Genomic DNA, 9,749 nt, shown 5'->3' with positions numbered 1-9,749 from the left:
CAGCATCGGTGTCACGTGGGAGCATGCTGGAAAATGCAGAATCTCGGGAGTCACACTGAAGACCTGAGAGTGACTTGGTATCTCACGCCCTCCCCCGGGGCTCACCTCTTCTCCATACACCCCTCCCTTGGTGATCTCATCAGGATGATGGCTTTAAATATCATGTCCAAGTGACTGACTCCCAAATGTTCCCATCCAGCACAGACATCGCCCCGAACTCCAGACATGGAGATCCAACTGCCTACTTGTCCTTTCAACTTGAAGTCTAACAGGGATCTCAAAATGGGCATAGCGAAAACTCTTGATTTCCTCTCTCAACCCCCAGCTCGCTCCTCCTTCCACCTACCTCCCGCTTCAGACTTCCCTGCTACTCATCTAGTTGCATTCTGTGGTAGACAGAGGTCACTCCTGAACCAAACCAAGAGTGACAGTGAGGCTGTTTCCTCAGCCCATCTGCAAGTTCCCTTGCCTTTCGTCAGCCTGGCTCTTCCGTCCCGCCTCCAACTTGTCTGACTCTACTCTAAGGTGGGGTTCTCTATCAGGAAACTCCTTGGAGACCCTTTAAGTAGCGCCTTCTTGGTATATAGGAATCCCAGAGTCACAGTCGGCTGTGTCAGTGTCTGGTGGGATTTCCTTGTCTCTTACTCCTCTCTCGATCCCTACAGTTCACAGGGGTCATTCTACCCTGATGAATAGTATACCCAGGGGCTGGTTACCTCAAGGTGGCTGAAACAGACCCAGAGAAAGACAGCTGGGCTAAGCTTAAGTTACTTAACCAGCTTCACCTTACTGTGATATGTGCACGGCACCCCCACTGCAATAAACAGTGACATCAGAGGCAGCAGTTTTATGCTCCACATCACATATCAGTACATTTAGAACATAATTCTCACCCTGGATGCTGCTAAGGTCCTTTGATGGTCAGATTCTATCTATCTCTGAGCCCTCTGATAGGTAAACATGCATCCATACTGTTTCTTGCCTCTCTCCACTAGAAGGAAAGCTCCACGTTGCAGGCCTTTATTTATTGCCACATCCACAGTTTCTGGCTGTGGAGGAGCTAAATTAACTAATAGAGCAAACAGTTATTAATACTTTCTCAAAGACAGAGGCTAATGGCCAGGCGTGGTGGCTCACGCCTGTAATCTCAGCACTTTGGGAGACTGAGGTGGGCAAAGTGCTTGAGCCCAGGAGTTCAAGACCAGCCTGGGCAACACGGAGAAACTCTATCTCTACAAAAGATACAGAACAATTAGTCAGGTATGGTGAGGCACACCTGTGGTCCCAGCTATTCAGGTGGGTGAGGTGGGAGGATCACTTGGGCCCAGGAGGTTGAGCCTGCAGTGAACCATGTTTGTGCCAGATGTGCACTCTAGCCTGGGCAAGAGAGCAAGACCCTGTCTCAAACAAACAAAGAAAAGGCTGAGTGCAGTGGCTCATGCCTGTAGTCATGGCACTTTGGGAGGCCAAGGCAGGCGAATCACTTGAGGTCAGGAGTTCGAGACCAGCCTGGCCAACATGGCAAAACCCTATCTCTACTAAAAAAAATACAAAAATTAGCCAGGCGTGGTGGCACATACCTGTAATCCCCCAGCTCTCGGGACGCTGAGGCAGGAGAATCACTTGAACCCAGGGGACAGAGGTTGCAGTGAGCCGTGATTAAGCTACTACACTCCTGCCTGGGTGACAGAGTGAGACTGTGTCTCAAAAATAACAACAACAAAAAGGCAGAGGCCAAGAATCAGCAAATGTCAATGGAAGGAAAGACAGTGGAGTCTCAGAAGGAACTGGCGCTGGGAATGCTCCCACTTCTTGCGGAGTGTCTGCTTCATTCTTCTCTTTGCAAACCAGTTCGCTTTGATCCTCTGTTCCATGGCAAAACAAGGCTGATGGGAGCTTGCACGTTTGTTCTCTGCCCAGTGGCCAGCGGAGTCTGCCAGAAGTCCCTCAGCAACCCTGAGTTTATTAGTCATAGTGGGAATAAAAGCAGCGAAGCCTGCCCATGGAAGGGACATTTCTAGAGAAGACTGCAAGCTAGAGATGGGCAGGGCTTTGTGCTTCAGGACCTGGGCATCCTTTCCAAAAGCTTCCCAGTGTATTATTAGCTAACTGGAATTTGAGGAGTAAGAAATATTTCATGTAAAGCCCTTAGCAAATAGAAGATAGTTCATTATTGAACCTATTGCTTGTAGTCCTCTAGAATGGCTGCCTGGCATCACTTCTCCCATTCTAGCAACCTCCAGGCCTCTCACCAGAGAAACTAAAGAGCCTCTGGAGGTTCCTTTTAACTGATGCTTCAAAGTGTACAGGCAAGTGACCCAGGCTCGCATGACCAGTTATTCTCACCTGCAAAGTGGAATCCTGATCAGGTATTTAAAGATAGAAAAGAGGGAATGCATTCCAGTCCCCTAGATAAGCCACTCCTATGATAAAAGATGTCCAACCTGCAGGACAGAACTAAGATGGAAAATATTTTGAAGTGTCCAATAATGGCTATCACAGTGAAGGTCTACATTTTTAAACCTTTGAAGTATTAAATGCAAAACAACCATATCACTGTTTTCTTGAAAGAACAAGCAAAAATCAGGCCTGAGCACTGAGCTCCCGTTGCTCCTAGAAGAACCAAGACAAAATGATCTCTAAACCTTAGGACAGCCAAAGCAGATCCTTGGGCGTTGAAGCTAAACTAGGGCTGGATAGGCAGGACAGAAACACAGCTAGGAGCTTTTTGTGTCCTCTCCTAACTATGCATAATTTCCCCCCACTTAAATGAAACAAATTAGCAATGGAGAGCTGCAGAATCAGCCACCAGATGATAATCAACGGCAGAATGGTGTTTATGATTTGAGCATAAATCTCTGCCACGATTTCATACTCTGGTCCTTGGAGTTTGGGTCTTCCTAAAGTCAATGTGAGGTCCAGAAACATGAGGTCTAACCTGACGTTAGAAATGACTACTGGCTCTATTTATAGATGAAGATCCATTACCTTTAAGATGAAAAAAACGCTTTAAGACAGGGGTGTCTTATCTTTAGGCTTCCCTGGACCACACTGGAAGAACTGTCTTGGGCCATACACAAAATACATTAATGCTAATGATAGCTCAAAAAAAAATTTAAAAATCGCAAAAAAAATCTCACGTTTTAAGAAAGTTGGCAAATTTGCATTGGGCCACATTCAAAGCCATCCTGGACCGCGGGTTGGACAAGCTTGCTTTAAGGGGTCCATGATCACTCTCCCTAGCTTTGTGTAATCTAGCGCATATTCAAGTGTAAGACTTGGCCAGGGGAACTAAGAATGTTAGCAAAGAGGTCATATTTTTTCCCCAGACTTTTCCTTGTATCATCTAAATATAAATATCTGACCACCACAATAAGAACTCAGTCATGAAGGTTTAACGAGCAGAAGAAAACCAGAAGCCCTGATTTTTGAGTTGTGTGATGAGGAAGAATAAAGGGAAGGACAGCCTTGCAGGGAGGAAAAAGTTCTAGAAGAGAAGAAAAGCTGCCAGAGCCAGCTCCAGGCCACTGCAGGAATAACCTAGTCACACTCCTTACCCCTTTATATGATGATGGTGGGAGTGTTTCTAGATAGTTGAAATGTAAGTAATTATGAGCATCCTGACTCTGCCCAGCACCAGTAGACATTATCAAACAGGTAAAGAAGCAAGAAATTGACTGACCTACATGCTCACCTGCACTGAATGACAGGACAGTGGACTGGAAGGAGATGAAAAGCTAGAAATGGTAGATATACCTACACCTCATACTTACCTTTTTAAAAAATTTCCATAGAACATCAGAATTTAAAGTGCCTCCCTCAAAGCAAAACATCATGGAAATTCTAATAGTTATAAAATAACCTATTTGCATTTAGTATGCTTCTTACAAGAAACTAGTTACAACCTTTTCATTGTTCTGTATTAAAGAGTATTTACCTGCATTTTCTATAAACCAAGATTAGTCCTGAGTTCCATATAGGTGAACATTACAGGTGCACCTAACTCTGTTGAATGCCTATGTGCCAGGCATATGGACAGCCTTACTCTGAACACAAAGAACCATGGGCATAACCGTTCAGTCTTACAGGTCCTGACAGGGCTTGAGGCTTACAGCTCGACCTCTTTGATGAAATGGTCTTATTTGTACTTTATATACAACAGCTTCATCTGTCTTCCTTAAATGTTTTCTAGCACCAAACTTTCTGTTAGGGTTTCCTTTTTAGTGTATCTTTCTAGTTTGTTGTTGCTGTTGTTATTTTAGAGGTGGAAACTTCCTTCTGTGCTGACTCACTAGATTTGGAAACTAAATTGGCTTGCACATCATCATAACTGGTGGCCATCTAGGGGTTCAATGACCCAAAAAAACCAATATATTTAATTTTTTTAATAAGATTAAAGTGACCATGCAGTACTTATAGCAAGGAGTACAAGATTATTCTAAATTCTAAATCGAGTGACTCACTATCACTCTCAACCTCTGGAGGCCTCACAATTCAAACCCCAACTAAATGTTCGTTTCTAACTTAACAATGAGTATTTATAGCCAGATGTCTTTTGCAAAATCCTCATAACTTAGATTCGTTCTTTGGGTAGGTCAATAACAACTGAACTTGCTATGATTTAAAAATTATGGGCCGGGCACGGTGGCTCACGCCTGTAATCCCAGCACTTTGGGAGACAGAGGCAGGCACATTACCTGAGGTCAGGAGTTCAAGACTAGCCTGGTCAACATGGTGAAACCCTGTCTCTACTAAAAATACAAAAATTAGCCAGGCGCAGTGGCGCATGCCTGTAATCCCACCTACTGGGGAGGTTGAGGGAGAAGAATCACTTGAACTCGGGAGGCAGAGGTTGTGGTGAGCCAGGACTGTGCCACTGCACTCCAGCTCAGGGGCGACAGAGCAAGACCCCGTCTCAAAAAAAAAAACTTATGTAACTTCCCCATTTAACTTTGTTTCATATTAAAGAATACTATCCCCACTTCTAGGACCCACCCCCACCCCTCAAAGGCAAACGATTATGTGTTCCTTCCTATAGCAGACAAAATGACCATCTTATATTGGAAAAGTAAGTTATTGCTAAGTAATATTCTCAAATTTTGTTGCAATCAGCTTTAAATGATTCTGATTTGAGAGATATGACCCTTGAGTGACAAAGCCCATTTCACCATTTACACAGGGAAAAAAAATCTCTTTAAAGCACTATATAGTTAAAAACATTGACAAGGAAATTAAATTAGTAGAGCTATCACTTTGATGTGATGTACATGGTAAGATTGTAAATACACCAACTATAATATAGAATTTAATTTTATCTTTATGAAGTATTCTGAAATAAAAGACGATAATACATGCATCAGGCACATTCGACAGAAGACTTTTACAATGGTTTACATTTCCTTTTTATTTATTCCTTGAAACTGCTCGTATTGCAAGTTTTTCACGGATGAAATATGGAACTGAGCAGATTCTTTTTTTCTACAAAATTATGGTATAAACTTGCTCAATTTTCTATCTTATTGCTAATAAACCTTACAGGCGCACAGTTTGTAAAATAAACCCCTTAAGGACTGAATGCGTAGAGCATGCTGCAAGGTACAAGAAATAAGCTAAAAATGAGCATATAAACCTACATCTGGACCAACACAGTACTGAATGCTGGCAAACATTTATCACAACACAGGGGAAAATTAACAAAAGGAGATACAGTTCAGTCCTGAAAGGGTTAAACAGAAACCCTAATATATTATTGTTTCTAACCATCCATCCCACATTACAGTGCTTGAAAACAAAGTCATAAGTCTGGCACAGAAAATTACACACATTTGTTCAGTACTTATCAGAAACACAGCTGCTTTTGCAATCAAAGTAACTTGGTTACTAACTGAACAGCATTTTGTTTCAAAAGGAACCTCCTCCCCAGTGGATTTTCTGGTTAGCATGACTAGTTAGGTTAGTTCTCAAAAATGGCATTGGAAGTTTTTTGTGAAAGCACAGATGGTACCAGTTTCATTAAAAACAATAAAACAAAACAAAACAAAAAAACTAACCAGTTATGATTGCAGATAAGTCTGTGCAGTAAGAGTGACAAACATTTCACGATTAAGTCATGTATAAACATGCCTTTAATTGCCACAGTTTAAAGAAAGTGAGCAGCAAATTTAGATAGTATACTAGTGTTCAACGCTGAAATCACTCAAAATATAAAGGGCATTTTTAAGGCTTTTAGCTTGCCTTCCCAATCTATGTGATAAATTAAATGGAACAAATAAAAACATATTGGATCAGAGACTCAGCTTCTATGTGTATGTTTAGAAACTGCATAGTCATGAGAGCATAAGATACATTTCTAAAACAGAATTTTTTAAAAATTCAAACATACTATAACTGAAGCACTCACCATTCTAATAAGAGAGTCTTTCTGAGGGTAAATGACCAGCATGTCTAATAATGCCATCACTGGAGGAGGGCACACAGTCTACTATAACCAGAGGACAAGGTTCCTATAAATTACATACTGAAAATGATTCACAAAACCATGAAAGAAAAAATGTAAGCAGCTGACAAAAGAACTACTGATAAACAATAAGCTACAATGGACAAATCATTTCACTCTTTAGTCTGTGGTATGAGAATGGCCAAAAATAGGTGGGGAAAAATGCCTGTATAAGTACATTCTTGGACTTTTCAAAAAAAGAAAAGAAAAGGGTTTACAGTATAATATTTCAATTATCTTACGGAAAGAAACTATCAAAATAAAACATACATGTTTGTTAAAAAAACACAAGTTCATTTTAATAAGGTCATGAACTTGAAAAATTATTTTTGAGCTACAAAAATGGGTAAGGAATAGTTTGTTCTTCAAAAGTATCTCTTTTGTTATTGGTTAATTTAATATGATTCCTTAACTAAATACCAAACCTAGGAAGTGGAGGAAACTTGTGGCCGTTAAAGCAAAGCAGCACTAGGAACATGTCCATGCTCTGAACAAAAGCACTGTGTAATGATTCCTGCCATGACTCCATAGAGAGGAATAACTACTACTCAGAAATAAGTGGTCTGTAAGAAAGAGACAGTGAACAATTACAACAAAGAAAGATAAGGCCACAATGAGTTCTGCCCTTGATCACTGAAACAGATTTAAGGTGTGAGGCAGGATTAGCTTATAAGAGAGAAGTGAGTGATTGGAGCAGATTTGAAGAAAAAAGGCGATATAGAATAAAATGCAGCCTGGGGGTGATTAAAAAGGCTTGCAGTAAGAGAAAACCGCAATAACTGATTTAACCACCTAACGTGCTTTACAAATGACCTTCCCCTTGAAAACTGAGGAAAAGGCGATTTAAAGATGTTAGGAAGAATATTTACAGTGGCATAGTCTGAGCATAGAGTGAGTGATGAAGACAGCAAAGCTGGAAAAAAAATGCTACTAATAATAATTTCTAAAAAGTCTATTAATGGAAACTTTTTCAAAACAGCCCAGGACACCAGAAAGACAATGTTCTGTAGGGAAACACTGTAGGAAGTTACAGTTTTGCATTCATAAGGTACTGTGGCTCCTGTTTTATGGGACAGTAAAAGCTTACCACAATCTAGAGGTAGTTTTTACTCTAAGAGGGATGATTGTATTACTAGACTGTGTTGTATAACATTACACACGTGGTTCCTGTACTAAATGTAGCCCAATGAGTCTGCTGCAATTTCGAAGAAACCAAACAAAGGCATAAACAAAGTTCAGGAATGAAAGCACGGTAAAACCGGCGGGGTTAGCAAGCAAGGCCAACCTACAACCCTGAATGCAACCAAATCTCAACTGAAAAGAAAAGAAACATTTTCTGAGTTAGGAGACATTTGTGGAGATGCTCAGTACTGGAAAAGAGAAAACAAACAAACAAAAAAGGCAGAGAAAAAAATGAAAACATAAGTTACATTTGCATTTTATAATCTTACAACTATCTGTTTCTAAAGTACTGTCTTCCAGCTATTTTAGTTGATCATCTAATAAAAGCATCTTATGTTTTAAGATTACAATGATGTTCTGGCTAGGCTACCCCCTCCAACCCCCCAAAAAAGTAAAGATAATAAAACATGCTTTTGCGGACATTTTCCTCATTCTACCATTAAGGGCACCATCTACCAACTGGTAGCAAATACTTCCCATATTTTTTGTCACTTGCCAACAAGGCAGAAAATACCCTGCTGAATGAAATCACTGGGAACATTCCAAGTTCAAAATAAAATGTTTAACTTACACATAATACAAGTTATGTACAAGATTAGGAGGGGGGAAAAACCTGAACAAATCCTGGAACACACCTATGTATTTACGTCATGGGAAAAGGGGAGAGAACACTTCAAATATCAACAAGTTCTGCGCCATTAACTCATTAATAGCTAAATGGCCACACCAAATTGCATGTGAATGTTAGAACCTCTCAGATAACCACAATAAGTCCATATTTTTTTTTAAAAAAAGGAAAACACAGAAATAACTACCAACAGTGTCTGAGAAGAGAGACTAAGTTAACATACATTGCATGTATTGCAGGCAAGGCAGAGGCATTTTTTTAAAGCTTTTGCACAGACTTCATATAATCTTAAAAAAAATATGCAGGCCTTTGCAAGATTTGACTTGCTGAAATCCAAACAATTTTGACTCATGAAAAGTCATAAGACTTCAGCTGAAAAAAAAGAAAAAAGTTCCAGCCTTAGACCAAAAAAAAAAAACCTGGAAGAGTATGATAGATTAAACAAGGATGGTCAGGCTTGGAACCTGAATGTATTTTAGAGCAAAAGCTCAAAGGTGGGTGGGGAAGAGAACAACCTATTTGGTAACAAGGTGTACTATAATACCGTGATATAAAAAAAGGTATGGTGAAAATGTACCTTTTACTAAAGCTTATACAATATACAAGTTCCTTGGTCCATAAAAACTATGTTAGATTTGTGTCTTCTAGTTTGTTCAACTTGTATTCCAGCCACATTATTTACTTCTTGCCCATTTAAACAAAACCAAACAAAAACCAACCAACCAACCAACAAAACAGCTGAAAAACTTGATTTCCAATATTTATACATTTTGATTTTTTTTTCTTTTTTTTTTTTTTTTTTTTTTTTTTTACTGTGGCTTCTGCATTTCAAATCAGCACTTGCAGGGAGACAACGGGGTTTTTGAATAGTATCACCTGGTATGAAAAGTTTTCCCAAGAAACCACAAACGATTGTTCATTTTTTCTCCTTTTTTGTTAACTTTTTGCCACACTCAAGTCAGTTTAAGTCCTAGCAAAAAGACGGTAGTTAGGATACCACTGTGGCTGTAGATGATGTGACACTGGTTGAATTTGTGCTGGCGTTTGTGTAACTTCCCTCGCTGTTTGTGTTTGATTCGTTAGGGGGCACCTGGCTTGAATTGGCTCGAAGGATTGCTCCTGCTGCACTGCAATGTGGCCGCGGCCCTGGTTCTGGTGTGTAGGTAAAGGTAAGGCTGGTGGAATAAATGATTCCATCATTTCGGACCAAAGTTACTGGAACCTGGACTGGTTGCCGGACCCATCTCCAACCTTCTCGGAATGCAGAAATGTCTGGGACGACACAGAGCATACTCTCTCCACACCTGAGGAGGAAATAGAAATCACTTAAAAACACTTTAAAAAGCAAAGTACATGTTAAAAATGAGACTTAACACAAGGTTGTTTAATACATTACAATCAGTGCCAGGAAAGAATCTCCTGTACCCACACCCCTCACAACCT

At 40.2% G+C, this 9,749-nt stretch overlaps 1 protein-coding gene across 18 annotated transcripts in view; it reads right to left on the bottom strand.

The window, feature by feature from the left end:
* The window catches only part of RBPJ (recombination signal binding protein for immunoglobulin kappa J region), a 329,683-nt gene continuing 325,104 nt past the window's right edge, over positions 5,171–9,749 (bottom strand). For 17 of the 18 annotated variants that reach the window (XM_047415656.1, NM_001374401.1, NM_001379407.1 and 14 more), the window contains one exon: positions 5,171–9,610. In XM_047415656.1, coding sequence (XP_047271612.1) covers positions 9,295–9,610 — 316 coding nt within the window. In that variant the 3' untranslated portion in view covers positions 5,171–9,294. The remainder of the gene's footprint in view (positions 9,611–9,749) is intronic. The other variant, NM_015874.6, reaches the window with a different exon arrangement.

The sequence above is a fragment of the Homo sapiens genome, chromosome 4, assembly GCF_000001405.40.
Source record: "Homo sapiens chromosome 4, GRCh38.p14 Primary Assembly".
Classification (NCBI taxonomy): domain Eukaryota; kingdom Metazoa; phylum Chordata; class Mammalia; order Primates; family Hominidae; genus Homo; species Homo sapiens.
This window is presented reverse-complemented; position numbering and strand designations above follow the sequence as displayed.